General features: G+C 42.8%; 2 protein-coding genes and 1 pseudogene across 8 annotated transcripts in view, besides 5 other annotated features; 2 read left to right on the forward strand and 1 right to left on the reverse strand.

Moving 5' to 3' along the window:
• Positions 1 to 2,243, reverse strand: part of NUFIP1 (nuclear FMR1 interacting protein 1) — a 50,223-nt gene extending 47,980 nt beyond the window's left edge. For both annotated transcript variants that reach the window (XR_941559.3, NM_012345.3), the window contains exon 1: positions 1,797 to 2,243. Coding sequence is in view for 1 of the 2 variants with exons in the window: in NM_012345.3 (NP_036477.2) it covers positions 1,797 to 2,208 (412 nt within the window). In the remaining variant the exon portion in view is untranslated. The remainder of the gene's footprint in view (positions 1 to 1,796) is intronic.
• Positions 1,781 to 2,419: an enhancer, noted in NCBI's record as "H3K27ac hESC enhancer chr13:45563144-45563782 (GRCh37/hg19 assembly coordinates)". NCBI's record gives its function as "activates a minimal SCP1, AML or CMV promoter by ChIP-STARR-seq in primed H9 embryonic stem cells {active_cell/tissue: H9 hESC(primed)}" and the evidence as "EXISTENCE:reporter gene assay evidence [ECO:0000049][PMID:30033119]".
• Positions 1,781 to 2,493: a biological region, named in NCBI's record as "H3K27ac hESC enhancer GRCh37_chr13:45563144-45563782".
• Positions 2,044 to 2,113: an enhancer, noted in NCBI's record as "active region_7676". NCBI's record gives its function as "activates an Ori minimal core promoter by ATAC-STARR-seq in GM12878 lymphoblastoid cells {active_cell/tissue: GM12878}" and the evidence as "EXISTENCE:reporter gene assay evidence [ECO:0000049][PMID:35858748]".
• Positions 2,304 to 2,493: an enhancer, noted in NCBI's record as "active region_7677". NCBI's record gives its function as "activates an Ori minimal core promoter by ATAC-STARR-seq in GM12878 lymphoblastoid cells {active_cell/tissue: GM12878}" and the evidence as "EXISTENCE:reporter gene assay evidence [ECO:0000049][PMID:35858748]".
• The window catches only part of GPALPP1 (GPALPP motifs containing 1), a 48,132-nt gene continuing 32,298 nt past the window's right edge, over positions 2,310 to 18,143 (forward strand). For all 6 annotated transcript variants that reach the window (NM_001316952.2, XM_047430436.1, XM_005266444.4 and 3 more), the window contains exons 1-2: positions 2,310 to 2,514; positions 17,077 to 17,209. Coding sequence is in view for 5 of the 6 variants with exons in the window: in XM_047430436.1 (XP_047286392.1) it covers positions 2,427 to 2,514; positions 17,077 to 17,209 (221 nt within the window). In the remaining variant the exon portion in view is untranslated. The remainder of the gene's footprint in view (positions 2,515 to 17,076; positions 17,210 to 18,143) is intronic.
• Positions 2,420 to 3,056: an enhancer, noted in NCBI's record as "H3K27ac hESC enhancer chr13:45563783-45564419 (GRCh37/hg19 assembly coordinates)". NCBI's record gives its function as "activates a minimal SCP1, AML or CMV promoter by ChIP-STARR-seq in primed H9 embryonic stem cells {active_cell/tissue: H9 hESC(primed)}" and the evidence as "EXISTENCE:reporter gene assay evidence [ECO:0000049][PMID:30033119]".
• On the forward strand, positions 14,922 to 15,219 carry RN7SL49P (RNA, 7SL, cytoplasmic 49, pseudogene; annotated as a pseudogene).

The raw sequence follows: 18,143 nt of genomic DNA on the forward strand, positions 1-18,143 counted from the left end.
TTAGCCAGGCATGGTGGCGGGCACCTGTAGTACCAGCTGCTCGGGAGGCTGAGGCAGGAGAATCACCTCAACCTGGGAGGTGGAGGTTGCAATGAGCCAAGATCACGCCATTGCACTCCAGCCTGAGCAACAGAGACTCTGTCTCAACAAATTAAAAAAAAAAATAAATAAAGTGCCCAGATTATAGGTGTGAGCTACCCTGCTCAGCCTAAAGTATTTTTTAATCAAGGTATGTAAGTTGTTTTTTAAGACATAATGGTATTGCACACTTACTAGACTATGGTATAATGTAAAAATAACTTTTTTGCCCCATAGGATCTGCAGGAAAACATACTTTTACATGCAACGGAAAACCAAAAAAAAAATAATTGTGTGACTTGCTTTACTGCAGTGGTCTGTAACTGAACCCACAAGAGCTCCAAGGTATCCCCAGATCTAGAATCCAACTACTTCTCACCATCCCTTGGGCTTCACCCTGGTCCAAGTCTCCAATATCTCTTGTTTAGAAAAGTAACTACAATAGCTTCCTAACCGGTTTCCCTTTCAGTCAGTTCTCACCAACAGACACATTAATCCTCTTAAAACGTAAATCAGGTCATGTCAATCCGCTGTACTACCCACCTCACAACAGTAAAAGTCAAAGTCCCACGATCTACAAAGACATACCAGGTCTTACCCTCCTCCCCCATCTTCTACAATTATACTCCAGACTCAGTCCTCTGTAGCCACACTGGTTCCCATTCTGATGTATAGCTTCTAAGCCTCAAGACCTTTGCACTTGCAGTTCCTTCTGCCCGTACCCCTATTCTCCCAGTTGTATGCATGGCTGTGATCTCTCACCTCCCTAAAGTCTTCGCTCATATGTCACCTTCCTTATGACTAACAATGACATTTAAAACTGCACTACCTGGCCCGGCGTGGTGGCTCATGCCTGTAATCCCAACACTTTGGGAGGCTGAGGCGGGCGGATGCCTGAGCTCAGGAGTTAGAGACAGGCCTGTCCAACACGGGGCAACCCCCTTTCTACTAAAAATATAAAAAATTAGCCGGGTGTGGTGGCGTGGGCCTGTAGTCCCAGCTACTCAGGAGTTTGAGGCATGAGAATTGCTTGAACTCGGGAGGCAGAGGTTGCAGTGAGCCTCTCTGCAGAGACTGCATAGGCTGGAGTGAAGTAGATCGCGCTACTCTTCACTCCAGCCTGGGCGACAGAGCGACACTCTGTCTCCAAAAAAAAAGAAAAAAAGAAAATCCTGCACTACTTACCATTCTTCTTTGTTTTATCTCTCTCCATGCCACTCAACCTTCTAATGCACAATATTTTATTTTGCTTATTGTCTGTCTTCCTACACAAGAGAGATAATATTAAGCTCCATAATATTTTTTGTATGTTCTGCTCACTGCTATATACCCAGATTCTGGTACATAGTCGGAATTCAATAAATAACTGCTAAATGGAATTAACAGTCAACAGGAAAACATTCTAGTCAGACATATTTTGAGAACAAAGGATTTACAATATTATATAAACTTAGTTGATAAAGCAGCCTCGACTTCCTGGGTTCAAGGAATCCTCCTGCCTCAGCCTCCCATGCATCTGCGACCACAGGCATGCCACCATGCCTGGCTAATTTTATTTTTTTTGTAGAGACGGGGGTCTCACTTTGCTTTGAGATGCTAATGACCAGACTCCAAGAGTGCAGAGGCAAGGCAGAGTAGAGAGAGGAAGCAGAGAAAGGGGAGAGGAAAGAACGGGGGAAAAAGGTAAAGGGGTCGACTCACGTGGAAAAATAGCCTACCTGCAGGGTTGAAGGACTTCTGATGCCGAGGAAACCTATCAGAAGACTGTCTCCAATACCACGATGTGGAAGCATGGAAATTCCAAGGCTGGCCGCTGGGTTGAGGCTGAGAATCAAGGGGAGACTGGGCGTCGAAGGGGGGTTGCGCCCCGGGAAGAATCTGGGCGTCGAAGGGGGGCGGAGCCCCGGGGAGAGACTGGGCCTCCATGGGGGGCTGCGACTCAGAGGAAGGCTTTGACCCGGCTGCGGGAAGCGAGGACGTAAGTGGTGGTGGCGGTGGCGGCAGCATTGCCCAGAACATCCAGCTGTCCCGCGGCGGGGCAGTGTCGCTCAGGGGCCCTAACGTGGGAGTCAGCTCGGGAGACGCATGCCACCCGATAGGAGTCTCGAAATCACTAGTCGGCTCAGCCATACCACTGGCGGGTCCGGAGTCTAGCACGCGACTGTGGAGCAAGCATTAGGCGTCACTTCCTTTACCGTGAACTACAAGGCTCAGCCAACCACAGGCTTTACGTCATTTCTCGGCGCCGGGAAACCTGCCATTCTTCGCTGCTGATCGCGGGATTCTTTTTGGATAGGGTTGACGTTCGTGGATAGACTCATATCTGTGACCAGTGTCCGCCACCGCGGATGGCAAGAGACCTGATCGGACCGGCCCTGCCGCCCGGCTTCAAGGCCCGCGGAACAGCGGAGGACGAAGAGCGGGACCCGAGCCCTGGTAAGCGGCGGCGTCTCCGCTGCCCACCAGGCCCATCTACCCACTCCCTGGCCGGGCCCTGCTCGCTGAAGAAAGTCGGAGGCCTAGGAGGGCGGAGGAGTGGGGAGTGGGCGCGGCCTGACCCGAGAGAACTTTTCTCTTCCCAAACAGTAGCAGGGGGGAGGAGGCTGGGGGACCCTCCTAGAAACGAGCTTTGGCGTGGTTTGGCTTCGTGATGATAATACATTCTCATTTAGCCTTAATATGAGCTGCACGCTGCCCTAACTGACTGATACCCACTCAGTCATTTAAGCCGTATAAGAAAAAAACTATTTTCCCATGTTGCAAATGGGTACGCCCAAGCCCATGCCAGTGTCTAGATCATACTGCTAGCAAGTGATGGAGCGCGACTTAGAAGGAAGCGGTTCTCTTAACCTCTGTGCCATATTGCCTTCTGATTACAAGAACCTTGCAGATCCTGTTCTCTCCAGCCCCCGACCTGCCTTCCTAGCCTCTCATTCTGTTATTGCATCTGACAAACACAGCCCAATACTCAATCCAGTCTGAGTTGCTGCGCAATTCCTTAACGCTCTAGGCTTCTGGGCTTCCTCTGGTTGCATTCCTAAACATAACTGACAAACTTCTCCCCATCCTTCAAGGCCCAACTTAAATGTCACACCAATAAAACCTTTCCAGATTCCCCGAAGCATTGTCATGCCTTTCTTTTTGCCCTCGGGTTTTTTCCTAATTACATTGCATATTTAGTACACTGTATTTGAATAATTTGTCGACATAATCTGTCTCCACCATTGCACTATGGTCTTCTACCTGAACACGCAACAGGCACTTGGTATATACGAAACGAATGCTTCTCGGATTCCGGCATGCATACCTATCTGCTTTAATGTTTATTCACATTTGTAGACTAGCACCGACACCCAGTTGGAGAAGAGTAAAGCTGAAAGAGTAACCCTGCCATTTCTGAATCTAATTTTTCTTCCTGGTCTACCCGGAGGCTATGTTTCTACTACAGGCCCCTTTCCAATATAATTTCTGTCATAACCACTTTAAAAATTATGCCTTCCAGCTGAGCGAGGTGGCACAAGCCTGTAATCTCAGCACTTTGAGAGGCTGAGACGGGGCGGATCACTTGAACTCAGGAGTTCAAGACCAGCCTGGCCAACATGTTGAAACCCCATCTCTACTAAAAATACAAAAATTAGCCGGGCGTGGTGGCGGGCGCCTGTAATCCCAGCTGCTCTGGAGGCTGAGGCAGGAGAATCGCTTGAACCCAGGAGGCGGAGGTTGCAGTGAGCCGAGAGTGCCACTGCGCTCCAGCCTGGGCGACGGAACGAGAGTTTGTCTCAATAAATAAATAAATAAAAGTAAATGTGAAAAATTATGCTTTCCTTCCTGTAGGAGATAGCTTTAAAAAAATAAAATAAGGCCAGGTGCGGTGGCTCACGCCTGTGAACCCAGCGCTTTGGGAGGCCGAGGCGGGCGGATCACGAGGTCGAGAGATCGAGACCATTCTGGCCAACATGGTGAAACCCTGTCTCTACTAAAAATACAAAAATTAGCCAGGCATGGTGGCACGTACCTGTAGTCCCAGCTACTTGGGAGGCTGAGGCAGGAGAATTGCTTGAACCTGGGAGGCGGAGGTTGCGGTGAGCCGAGATCGCGCCACTGCACTCCAGCCTGGCGACAGAGTGAGACTCTGTCTCAAAAAAAAAAAAGAAAAAGATTCTTCGTATATATTTGTTGAATGACTTCTCTTCGTCAAGCACAATATCTTACACGTAGTGTGTCATTTTAAACACATAATCTCCCCTGCTATAATTCCATTCCCTTCATAACCGCCTAGATGGCTGAACCTAAAACGGTTGCCAAAAAATCTTCATATATCATTTTTATTTCATCTATCTGGATTTTTAAGAAGTTTGCCAGTACCAATGGCCTTCACATCCACTATATCACACCATAGAAGCTGCACTTGGACCATCTTCCAGTTATTACCTGCATCACCACCCCTCCTACAACCAGAGGGTAACTGCTTCCTTGATTTATAGCATCACAGATTCGTTTTGCATGTTTTCTCTTTCATAACTGGCTTCCTATCTTGGTACTACATTACTTTGTGAGATTCATTCATGTAGATTAGCATTATTATAGATTGTTGAAGTTCATAATCTGGTCTTTAAACAAACAGAATTATTATAGGTTGTTTCTTTACATTGCTATATAGTCATCCATTAGATGAATGTTCTGCAATTTATCCATTTTACGTTGGATGAACATTTGAGTAATTTCCATTTGGAGGCTGTTATAAAATGTGCTGCTATGCATTGTAGTATATGTCTTATGGTAGATACTCCCAGCTTCCAAAGTCACCAAAGTTCTCAGCGTGTATGAGAATTCTAGTTGTTCCACATTCTAATATTTAGTTTTTTTCTTTTAAATCCGGTGGTTTGTAGCAATATCTCATGGTAGTTTTAATTTGTATTTCCCTGGTGACAAATGAAATTGACCACCTTTTCATGTGTTATTTGACCATATGAATACATGCTGTGTTCAGTCTTTTGCTTATTTTTCCATTGAGTTGTCTGTCTTCATATTGATTTATAGAGTTCTTTTTATAGTCTGGATATGAGTCATTTTCCAGATAGGTGTATCAGAAATATCTTCTCTAATTCTGTGGTTTTTTCACTCATGTTGGTATGTTTTGATTAACATAAGTTTTTAATTTTAATATATTCTGACTTTTAATTTTTTTCTTTTATGGTAGAATTTTTTGCATCCTATTTAAGCTATCTTTGCCCACCCCAAGGTTATAAAGCTCTTCTGTGTTTTCTTCTAAAAGCATTATTGTTTCAGCTTTCACATTTATATTTGCAATTCATCTGGAATTGATATTTGTGTGTGGTGTGAGATAGGGATGAAAATTTTTTGCCCCTGTAAGGGTATCCTGGCACCATTTATTGAACAGACCATCCTTTCACCACTATCACCTTCCTTATAAATCAGGCAACCATATATATGCATCTAGTTTTTTTTCTTGTTTATTCTGGTAAAATATACACATCTGTCATATTAACCATTTGTAAGCATATAGGTCAGTGGCACTTAGGTACAGTCACATTGTTGTGCGGTCATCACCACCATCCATCTCTAGAACTATTTTCATCTTGCAAAACTGAAACCTATTCCCATTAAACAATAACTCCCCATTCTCCCCTCTGACCCAGTCCCTGGTAACTACCATCTACTTTCTTTTTCTGTTAATTGGACTATTTTAGGTACTTCATTTAATGGAATCATACAGTACTTGCCCTTTGGTTACTGGCTTATTTCACTTAGCATAATTTTTTCAAGCTTTACTTATTGTAGCACGTTAGAATTTCCTTTCTTTTTAAGACTCAACAGTATTCCGTGTATGTATATACTGTATAGACTACATTTTGTTTATTCATCTGTTGCTGGACCCTTGGGTTGCTATGTATGCTATTGTGAATAATGCTGTTATGAACATGGGTGTACAAATAATCTGTTCAAGTCCCTGCTTTCATTTCTTTTGGTCGTATACCCAGAAATGGGATTGCTGGACCATGTGGTAATTCTACAACATTTTGAGAGGCCGGGCACGGTGACTCACACCTGTAATCCCAGCACTTTGGGAGACCGAGGCAGGTGACCTCACCTGAGGTCAAGAGGTCAAGACCAGCCTGGCCAACATGGTGAAACCTCGTCTTTACTAAAAATACAAAAATTAGCCAGGCGTGGTGGATTACCCAGAGATCTTGTTAAGATGCCAACTCTGATTCAGGTGATCTGGGACCTGTAGTCCCAGCTACTGGGGAGGCTGAGGCTTGAGAATCACTTGTACCTGGGAGGTAGAGGTTGCAGTGAGCCGAGATCGCGCCACTGCACTCCAGCCTGGGCGACAGATCGAGACTCCGTCTCAAAAAAAAAAAAAAAATTTGAGGAACTAGCATACTGTTGTCTACAGCAGCTGCACCATTTTACATTCCCACTAGCACTGTACAAGGGTCTGTTTCTCCACATCCTCCCAGTGCTTGTTAATTTCTGTTTGTCTTTTTTTTTTTTTTATAATAGTCATCCTAATGAGTGTGAAGTGGTATCTCATTGCTTTGATTTGCATTTCCTTAACGATTAGTGATGTTGAGCACCTTTTCATATGCTTATTGGCTTGTGCATCTAGGTTTAAGAAACTTGGGTCAGGCATGGTTGTTTACGCTTGTAATCCCAGCACTTTGGGAAGCTGAGGCAGGCATTCTTGAACCCATGAGTTCAAGACCAGCCTGGGCAACATGGCAAAACCCCATCTCTACAAAAAATACAGGTAGTGCATGCCTGTAGTCCCAGCTACTTGGGAGGCTGAGGTGGGAGGATCGCATGAGCCCAGGAGTTGGAGGTTGTAGTAAGCTATGATCATGCCACTGCACTCCAGCCTGGGTGATAAAGTGAGACCCTGTCTCAAAAAAAAAAAAAAAAAAAAAGGGAGAGAGAAAGAAAGAAACTTGAATTTAGAGTCTAATTTCTTAAAAAAATGCCCTCTCGCGGCCGGGCACGGTGGCTCACGCCTGTAATCCCAGCACTTTGGGAGGCCGAGGCGGGCGGATCACCTGAGGTCAGGAATTCGAGACCAGCCTCAACGTGGAGAAACCCCGTCTCTACTAAAAAAATACAAAAATTACCCAGGTGTGGTGGTGCATGCCTGTAATCCCAGCTACTCGGGAGGCTGAGGCAGGAGAATTGAATTACCTGGTCTTCTCTGTTCCTGCTGCCTACCATGTCCCATCCTACCTTGAAGTCTTCATACATGTTGTTCCCTCAGTTTGAGTGCTTCCTCCCATCCCTTAGTTTCGTTCGTTTTGCTAGTTTTCAGAGCTCAGTACAAAACTTCATCTTGGGATTCAGGTGTTATGGGCCTCCTCACGTGATAAACATAAAGTCACACAGTTTTCCAAAATACATGGTTTTCATAATAAAAGTATTCTTGAAATTATTTATTCGTGGTTTTTTGTTGTTGTTGTTGATTTAGGGTCATTGTTCAGAATATCACATTATATATATCGTTAGATAATTAGAAATGTGAGGCATTGGAGAGAGAGCATTTTATTTTTTTTTTGAGACGGAGTTTCGCTCTTGTTGCCCAGGCTGGAGTGCAATGGCACAATCTCGGCTCACCACAACCTCCGCCTCCTGGGTTCAAGCTATTCTCCTGCCTCAGCCTCCTAAGTAGCTGGGATACAGGCGTGCACCACCACACCTAACTAATTTTGTATTTTTAGTAGAGAGAGGGTTTCTCCATGTTGGTCAGGCTGGTCTTGAACTCCCGACCTCAGGTGATCCTCTCGCTTTGGCCTCCCAAAGTGCTGGGATTACAGGCGTGAGCCACTGCACCCAGACACAAGCCCCTATCTTTAAACACACACACACACACACACACACACACACACACCCCTTCTCTTTTGGTTTCTATGATACCATACTCCCCTCATTTTTGTCTCCTCTTTGGGCAGCTCCTCTTCATCTCGAATAGTTTATCTTCAATTAAACCTTCAGGTGTTAAAGATTCTGAAAGCTGACTCCTAAGCCCTCTTTTTTTTTAATACTCTATTCTCTCTTTTAAGTGATGATATTCCCACCCATGGGGTGAAGGTTTTTATATAAGAACTTAGATGCTTATCTAACATCTTTGTTTAATGATTCCCAGTGAGAGTTCCTATCAGAATCTTTAAAAAAGGAGATGAACTTCTAAAAAAAATCTTTCAATGTTCTAGCCAGTCTCTTCTTTCCTCCCCTGACAGGATTTTAAAGTATTCCAAGTTCAGGAGCAAAGACTAAATTACCCCCTAAGTCCCTGGGACTGTCCCAGTTTTAGCACTAAAAATCCCACATCCCAAGAAGCCCTTCAATCCCAAGCAAACCAGCACAATTGGTCACCCTATTTCTGTCTTCTGTAGCAGTGCACCTTAAACTTGAACATGCACATGGATTACCCAGAGATCTTGTTAAGATGCCAACTCTGATTCAGGTGATCTGGGTGAGGCCTGAGATTCTGCATTTCTGACAAGCTCCCAGCTGCTGCTGCTGCTGCTGGTCCTGCTGGTGCCAAGACCACAGTGTTTGTGGTGAGGGATGGGAGCACACGTGGCTTTCTCTATCTGTAGTTATTGTGCTGGATTGTTTGCTGGTTTGCCCCACTAAACCATGAGGAAAGGAACCACGTCCTAAGCCTCTGTAATCCCCAATACTAGCAGGGTACCCAGCACAAAGTGGGTACTCAGTAGATTCCTTTTGGCGGAGTAGAGGACAGTAAAAATTCCTGGTCAGGCGCAGTGGCTCATGCCTATAATCCCAGCACTTTGGGAGGCTAAGGTGGGAGGATCACTTGAGCCCAGGACTTCAAGAACAGCCTAGGCAACATAGTAAGACCTCATCTCTACTAAAAATTTAAAAATTAGCCAGGCATGGTAGCATGCACATGCAGTCTCAACTACTTGGGGGGCTGAGGCAAGAGGATTGCTTGAGCCCAGGAGTTTGAGGTTGCAGTGAGCTGTGATCACACCACCGCACTCCAGCCTGAGTGTTAAAACAAGACCTTGTCGCAAAAAAAAAAAAAAATTCCTTAAGAGGGGCCCAGGATTTATGGGGGTTGGAGAAGCCAGGACCTGCATGAATACAGCTAACCATAATCCTTTGTATGGAGTCTGGAAGAAACCTAATGGCTGGCTGGGAACGGGATTTTTTTTTTTTTTTAAACAGCATCTCACTGTCATCCTGGCTGGAGTGCAGTGGCATGATCTCAGCTTACTGCAACCTCTGCCTCCTGGTTCAAGTGATTCTCCTGCCTCAGCCTCCTGACTAGCTGAAATTACGGGGATGCACCCTCACATCTGGCTAATTTTTGTATTTTTAGTAGAGATGGGGTTTCACCATGTTGGCCAGACTGGTCTGGAACTCCTGGGCTCAAGTGATCCATCTGCCTCAGCCTCCCAAAGTACTGGGATTACAGGCGTGAGCCACTGTGCCCAGCCTCTTTTTTTTTTTTTTTTTTTTTTTTTCCAGTTTTTAAAAATTGTGATAAAATACACATAACATGAAATGTACCATCTTAACCATCTTTAAATGTACAGTTCAGTGGCATTAAATACATTCAGATGATTGAGCAACTATTACCAACATATCCACATCTCTTTTCATCTTGTAAAACAGAAACTCTGTACTCACTAAGTAATAACTCCTCATTCCCCCCTCCAGCTCCTGACAAGCACCATTCTACTTTCTGTCTCTATGATTTGACTACTTTAAGTACATCATTTGAGTGGAATCATACAGTATTTGTCTTTTTTTTTTTTTTGGACTGGCTTATTTCACTTAGCATAATGTCCTTAAGTTTCATCCATGTGGTAGCAGGTGTCAGGATTACCTTCAAGTGAAGATTCCTGAATCCAGTCTGTTATCTGTCCTGTGTTCCTCACACTCTGCTGTCCCAGAAGGAGATCTGACAAGCATGACCAGAGTAAAGAGGAGTGAGGGAGCACACAGGTCTGAGATGGAACAAGTTAACTTCATTTGAATACTCTGAAAATTGACTGCTGGAAAATGTCCCCCAACGTCATGTCATTAGAAACCCTGGGGTGCAAATATTTTCTCAAGAGCGATCCACAGACTCCATATGCTGTTCTATGGAAGCTGAGTGGAGCCTTGGCCATTTTGACTCTAACTCCAGTCTCCTATCTGCAGTGACCTTCACCTCCACTAATTTCACCTACATTTTAAGCTGGAGTAGTGAGTCTACCCTACTCCAGCTCCAAAAACTCAAATTCAAATCTCATTCTCAGCAAGAACCCCTTATTCATTCATTGTTCTCACTCAAGTTACTCCCATTTCATTTGCTTTTTATTTTTGTTTTTTAACCTCATTGAGCCTTCCATCCCTAAGTACTTCTATCCCTAAGTACTTCCATCTGAGAGGAGTGCTTACATCCCTACTCCTGTTAGACTCCATGGTCCACCCATTCATCCACTCTCTTGCTGGTGCTCTCAACTGCTTTATCCCATTGGGTATTCTGCCAAACCCATCTAACAAAAGCCCAGCCCTGGATCAGTCCAAGTGTTTACCCCTTGTGAGCCTACAGCCAGGCTTCCTAATGCTGCTAGAAGAAACCTCACGCCTCCACAAGCTAATGCTGCTAAAAGATGGCCTGTTCCCTAACTGGGTCCATAGGTCTGTCCAGTAATCCTCACAGGCTTCACCTCCTTTCTCTTCCCCAATCTGCAACCTTGGCTTTTTAAAACTTTCCCTTTCTTTCTAAAACTTTTATTTTTCCGTCTACTTCATTGAACAAGTAGATGCCATCATAAGAGAACTTCCTCAATTTTCTGTTACTGTATCTAAAAACTATCCTAAATCCACGCCAAGCTTTTTGTCTGCCCTTTGGTAACAATAGAAGAGGTATACTGCTTCCTTCTAAAGCTAATCCTTCCATTTTTACTCTGACTCCCTTCCCTGTCCTTAGGGCTGCCTGCCCTTAGCATTTAACCAAAACATTCAAATCTTTCCCATCTTTGAAGAAAACTCTACTTCATATCCCCCTCTAGCTGCATCTTTTTCTTTCTCACTGTCTCTGGGTCTTCTATTTTCTCCTTAACCCATTGCATTTCTGCCCTCACCAGTCCACTGAGACCCTCACCAATTCAAGGCTTCCTTTTCAGTCCTAGTCTTCCTTGACCTCACAGCAACATTTGGCCCCTCTCTATCCTCTCTTGGTTCCAACCATCCTGAACACCTTTCAGTTTTCTAAATGTGATGACTCTTTTGCTTTCAGGCTTTTGCAGATGCTTTTCTTTCTGCCTGGACTACTCTTCGTCCAGTCCCCACCTTCTTTGCCCAGCTAACTCAGGTCCCACCCCTACATCACTGCTTCTAGGAAACATTCTTTGATGTTAACTACCTACTGCCTGTAAAAGATGGGTTGGGTGCCCCTTCTTTATATTTGCATGATTTAACCATGTCATGGGGTCAGCAAACTTTTCTTGTAAAGGACCAGATAGTAAATACAGTTGACCCTGTAGATCTGCAGGTTCTGAGTCTTCAGGTTCAACCAACTCTAGATTGAAAGTACAATATTCAAGGGAAGTGGAACCAAGGCCATAGCCACAGATTTTGGTAGCTGCAAACAGGGGAGTTGGTCCTGGAACCAATCTCCCGAGAATACCGAGGGACAACTGTACTTTTGACTGTAGGTCAGTAGGCAAAATCAAGATTATTGTAAAAGTATGTGTACAACAAGAAGGAAGCAAACTTCACAAAATTTTATTGTTGCAATCTAAAACATAATACCATATAATTTTTTTGTAATACAGGTCTACTAATGAGAAGAACAGAATTGGTTTTGGGGGAGTAACATTTCATTTCATCGGAGTTCAAGTTAGCATTCCTAGTCATCAGAATCAGTTGTGGATGTTCATCTGTTAATGCTGATCTGTAATGAGATTTTTATGTATTATACTGAGTTCATTTTTTTATATGCATATCACAATTCTGTGTGATATGAAAGGGAAATAAGTGAAATATAAGGAACGCGTAACTCCTGTTCTCATGGAATTTATAATCTATTTGGAAAATTATCATTGCAATAGGAGAGCCTCCTTAATGACGACAAGCATCACTGCTTTAGGAGAGATATGGAATAGTTCATTACATGTTCCCAAAATAATTTTTTGAGATTATTCATAGTTCAGAAGGATATCTATAAAAAAGTGAAGCCAGACATGTCCTTACTTTTATTAGGGGGTCTGTATTGTGGCGTATACTGACTGACACTTTTAATATTCTTCTCTTTTTTCTTGAGACAGAGTCTCACTCTGTCACCAGACTGGAGTGCAGTGGCGTGATCTTGGCTCACAGCAACCTCCGCCTCCCGGGTTCAAGTGATTCTCCTGCCTCAGCCTCCTGAGTAGCTGGGACTACAAGCATGTGCCACCACGCCCAGCTAATTTTGGTATTTTTAGTAGAGATGGGGTTTCACCATGTTGGCCAGGATGGTCTTGATCTCTTGACCTCATGATCCGCCTGCCTTGTCCTCCCAAAGTTCTGGGATTACAAGCATGAGCCACTGCGCCTGGCCCCTTTTTTCTTTTTTATATCGCCATCTCAGTATTCTATCATTTCATGATGAAATAGTTGTTTATTTTGAACAACTCAAATAGAAATTAATGGTACTATGTGCTGAATGTTACTTTTTTATACTATTTTTCCGTGATTATTTTTAAAAGGCCAGGTTTTCTTAGATGAGTTTTATCTTCATCTGCTTATTATCTTTTTAAAAAATGTATATCTCGTTTGTTTCTTTAAAAATCCATGGCAATTTTTTAGTTGTAATAGCACCAGGTGTGGTGGCTCATGCCTGTAATCCCAGTGCTTTGGGAGGCCAAGGCAGGAAGATCACTTGAGGCCAAGCGTTCAAGACCAAGCTGGACAACATAGTGAGACCCTGGTCTCAAAAAAATAAATAAAATAAAATTTAAAAATTATCTGTGCATGGTGGCAAACACCTGTAGTCCTAGCCATGCAGGAGGCCGAGATGGGAGGATCGCTTGAGGCCAGGAGTTCAAGGTTACAGTGAGCCATGATCACTGCTTTCTAACCCAGGCAACAGAGCAAGACTAAATAAATAAATGAGTGAATGAATACATAAATAAAAGGTATGTGTGTACGTTATAATACCAAGAACAGCACATATTTAGACCATATTACACATCTAATTGCTTAAAATATATAAAAGAATAATAAAATTTTTTCTTGATACAAACCTATCCAAAATTGGCCAATAGTATACAATTGATAAATTACATGGATAGCAGTCACATATAAGAAGAGAAAGAAGCAGAAGAGGAAAAAACATATCTTCCCTCTTTAATGTACTTAGAATCAAGAAGATGAAAAGAGCCAATCACTCCTGTGGGGTCACACATGAGGTTAGAGGTCACATATAGTCTCTAAATTATAAATAAATTGGGGAACACTTACATACTAAGACATTAAGTCTTCTTTAGTAAACCCTAAACAGCAGTTGGAGATAGGAATCCCATCCATGATGCTTGATGTTTTCCTTTTTGCTGTAACGCAGCATGCCTTAGAGTTATTCTTTTCTAAGGCATGTTATTACCTGTTCTATAGTAATGCACCAAGAGAGATAGGAAAAATTTTTTTGAAATAGGCCAATGATTCCAAAACTAGCCTTAGTTTCTCCCCTGAGCTTTACACTGTAATAATGTTTGGCTATGTCCCCACCCAAATCTCATCTTGAATTATAGTTTCCATAATCCCTACATGTTGTGGGAGGGACCTGGTGGGAGGTAACTGAATCATGGTGGTGGTTACCCTCATGCTGTTCTCGTGATAGTGAGTTCTCATGAGATCTGATAGTTTTATAAGGGGCTTCTCCCCCTTTCTCTCTGCACTTCTCCTTCCTCCTGCCATGTGAAGAAGGATGTGTTTGCTTCCCCTTCCACCATAATTGTACGTTTCCTGAGGCCTCCACAACCATGCTGAACTGTGGCTCAATTAAACCTCTTTCCTTTATAAATTACTCAGTCTCAGGTATTTCTTCATAGCAGCATGAGAACGGACTTACACACCCTATACACCCTAGTATGCCCAAGTACCACTGATAGCACCACCTAAATTTTTAAGGCTGTATGAAACTTAAAATGTGAAAAACAAACTCTCAACTCTCCCCTCCCAGCCTATTTTCTTCCCAGCCTTCTCCATATTAGAGAATACCATTGCCCTTCACCTGCCTAGCTAGTCAGGCACAAAACCTAAGACCTATCCTTGGTTCCTTTTTTTTTTCTTCTCACCTCTAACATCCAAACCATTAGCAGTCCTCTTTGCCCTTACATCAGAGTATGTTGCAAATCAAACCTTTTTTTTTTCTTTCTTTTTTTTAGATGGAGTCTTGCTCTGTCGCACAGGCTGGAGTGCAATGGCGTGATCTTGGCTCACTGCAACCTCCACTGCCAGAATTCAAGCAATTCACCTGCCTCAGCCTCCTGAGTAGCTGGGATTACAGACGCACACCACCATGCCCAGCTAATTTTGTATTTTTAGTAGAGACAGGGTTTCACCATGTTGCCCAGGCTGGTCCCGAACTCCTGACCTCGGGTGATCCGCCCACCTCGGCCTCCCAAAGTGCTGGGATTACAGGCGTGAGCCACCACACCTGGCCCACACCATTTTTTATCAGCTTTCTAATGCATATCCCCTGTTGCTGATCTCTCTTGTCTATTGTCCACAAGCTGACAGTTTTTTGTTTGTTTGTTTGGTAATTCATATCATGTCTGTCCTGACCCACAACCTCCCAATGACTGCCTGTTGTAATTAAAATCCAAACTCCTGCTGGATGTGGTGGTGCATGCCTGTAGTCCCAGGTACTCAGGAAGCTGAGGCAAGAGGATCGCTTGAGTCCAGGAGTTCTGGGCTGTAGTGCGCTATGCATTCTGGTATCCACACTAAGTTCAACATCAGTATGGTGACCTCCGGGAGTGAAGGACCACCAGATTGCCCTAAGGAGGGGTGAACCAGCCCAGGTCGGAAACAAAGCATGTGAAAACTCTGGTGCTGATCAGCAGTGGGATCGCACCTGTGAAAAGCCACTGCACTTCAACCTGGACAACACAGTGAGATCTCGCCTCTTAGGGAAAGGGAACAGAAAAGGGAAAGGGAAAGAGAAGTCCAAACTCCTTATTGTAGCCTGTACTAGCATTTATTGAGCACTTGCTATATGCCAAAGACTTTGTTAGGTGTTTTGCATATATTAACTGATATAATCTTCACAACAGTCCTGTGAGGTTGAAACTATTATTAACCTCATTTTACAAAGCAAGAGTGTAATAGGAAGGTTAAGTAACTTATCCAAATCACACAGCTAGTAAGTGGCCAACCTGGAATTCAAAGCACAGAGTCTGCCTCCAAAGCAAGAGTCTGGCCCCTTTATACCATCCAACTTGATGTCGTCATTTTGCTTTTCTTTAGCCACACTGGCCTTTTTATTCCTCAAGCACATCAGGCTTGCTCCCTGCATAGGAGTTGTGCACTGGCTGTTCCTCTGTCATCTCATCATTTAAGTCTCCATTCAAATGTCTTTTTCTCAGAGAGATTTTTGCCTTACCACTGTCTTTAAAATTACCCTCCCACATATACAGTGTCACCTTTTTCCTATTTTCATAGTAGCATTTACACTATCTGAATTGATCTTAATTCTTTTAATGTTTGTTTCTCTAGAAGTATTTACTTAATAACTGTTGTTGGATGGATGGTTGCTGACTATTGAGTATTGGCTAGTATAGTGGTTAAGGATATAGGCTTTGAAATCAGACTCCTGGGTTCATGTCACAGCCCCACTACTTAGTTGTATGAAGTTAGGCAAGTCACTTAACAATTCTTGGCCTCAGTTTCTCCATATGTAAAATAGAAATAATATCTCCCTTATAGGATTGTTATCAGAATTAAATAGAATAATGTGTATGTCTCTTAAAACAATTCATAACACCTAAGAACTCAAACCATGTTATTTGTTATTTATTTATTACACTTAAGTTTTTGTAGTAACAAATATTACTATTACTATAATATTGAATGAATGGCATACCCAGAATACTCTTTGGAAAATCATGTTTCCAGGCCCTCCTCCAGGCCAACTGGGTTAGAATATCTGAGAAAAGGGCCCATGAATCTTTTAAAAATACATAGATTTTAGGGAGTCTGATAAATATCCAACCTTGGGAACTATGATAGTAGGCTTTTAGCATCACTATTTAGGATCAACCTGGACAGTTGTGTCTGTGTGACATCATCAGTGACATCATGACACTGCAGTGACACCATATAGTAATTTGTAATTTTGCTGAGATGTAAAGTGAGAGCAAGTCATTCTGATAAGTGGACCTAGAAGACCCTTACCACTCTCCCTAACATCCCCATTACAGTGCAGCCTCATTCTCTTCCCTGTATCTCTGTTGGCAAGCAGTAAAACTTAGAGTGACTCTAATTTTATTTCTGCTTGGAAAATCATCTCAAAAAGAAAACTAACCAAGAAATATGGGGATGCCAGGAAAGATTTTTTTTTTTTAAGTAGTGGTTCTACCGTAAACTGTAAGAAAAAAAAAAATCATGAAGCCATTGGGGTTTTTTTTTGTTTGTTTGTTTGTTTTTTTGTTTTTTTTGGCAGGTGCACCAACCAATGCAAAAACTGCACATTATCAAGGAAATTACATGCTATTGCTATATCTATAAGTTCGGGTTTATAAGTTCAGATATTAACAAAGCTTTTGTGAATCTCATGAAAGAGATTGTGTAAGACATGATTTCTGCCTTCCTAGAGCTGGAAAGACAAAACCACTGTACACAAACAACAGCAATTGAGATTAAAGTGAATAATAAATGATAGACAGCCAGTGCTGTTTATTTCAGAAAAGAAAGTGAAAAATATCAGCTAGAAGGGTTCATTGAAACAGTAGTGGCTAGTGATGACAAACAACAAGTGTTCTTTAGTTGCAGGACCAGCTCTGCCCCCTAATTATAAAAGCAGTAGTTCAGATTCATCAGACAGCGATGAAGACAGTAGTTCTTTGTACGAAGAAGGAAATCAAGAATCTGAAGAAGATGACAGTGGTCCAACTGCAAGGTCAGTCATTTAATTAAATTAAATGATAGACCAAACTTCAGAGCTAGTATAAGTTGGCTGGAACAGATAGCTAGTAAGGGGATATCATATTTCCATTTATACAGCACAGGGAGAAATCATTTTGTGTGGCATTTCATCCTGAATTATACCTTTTACAAAGAAATTTATTCTAGTAGTTTGCAGCTATAGAGATATCTAGAATTTCAATATATATGTATATTTTTTCCTGAGACAGGGGCTCACTCTGGCGCACATGCTGGAGTGATGTGGCACGATCTTGGCTCACTGCAGCCTCTGCCTCCCAAGCTCAAGCGATCCTCCCACCTCAGTCTTCTGAGAAGCTGGAACCACAGGTGCCCGCAAATTTTTGTATTTTTTGTAGATTTTTTGGTATTTTTTGTAGAGATGGGGTTTCATCATGTTGCCCAGGCTGGTCTCAAACTCCTGGACTCAAGTGATCTGCCCGCCTCAGCCTCAGAAAGTGCTGGGATTACAAGCATGAGCCACCACACCAGCCAATAAAATTCTTACATAAATGATTTTTCTTAAGATGTCATTGAAGTGCCAAAATAGGCTACATAAACCATAGAATTTCTTATTAAAATTATATATGCAGTGTATGTTTTCTTTAAATAAACTAATGGTTTTCTTTTTTTTTTTTTTTTTTTTTTTTTTTTTTGAGATGAAGTCTCACTCTGTAGCCCAGACTGGAATCCGGTGGCACGATCTCAGCTCACTGTAGCCTCTGCCTCCTAAGTTCAAGTGGTTCTCCTGTCTCAGTCTCCCAAGTAGCTGGAACTACAGGTGTGTGCCACCATACCTGGCTAATTTTTGGATTTTTTAGTAGAGACAGGGTTTCACCATGTTGGCCAGGCTGGTCTTGAACTCCTGACCCCAAGTGATCTGCCCGCCTCGGCCTTTTAAGGTGCTGGGA

The sequence above is a fragment of the Homo sapiens genome, chromosome 13, assembly GCF_000001405.40.
Source record: "Homo sapiens chromosome 13, GRCh38.p14 Primary Assembly".
Taxonomy (NCBI): domain Eukaryota; kingdom Metazoa; phylum Chordata; class Mammalia; order Primates; family Hominidae; genus Homo; species Homo sapiens.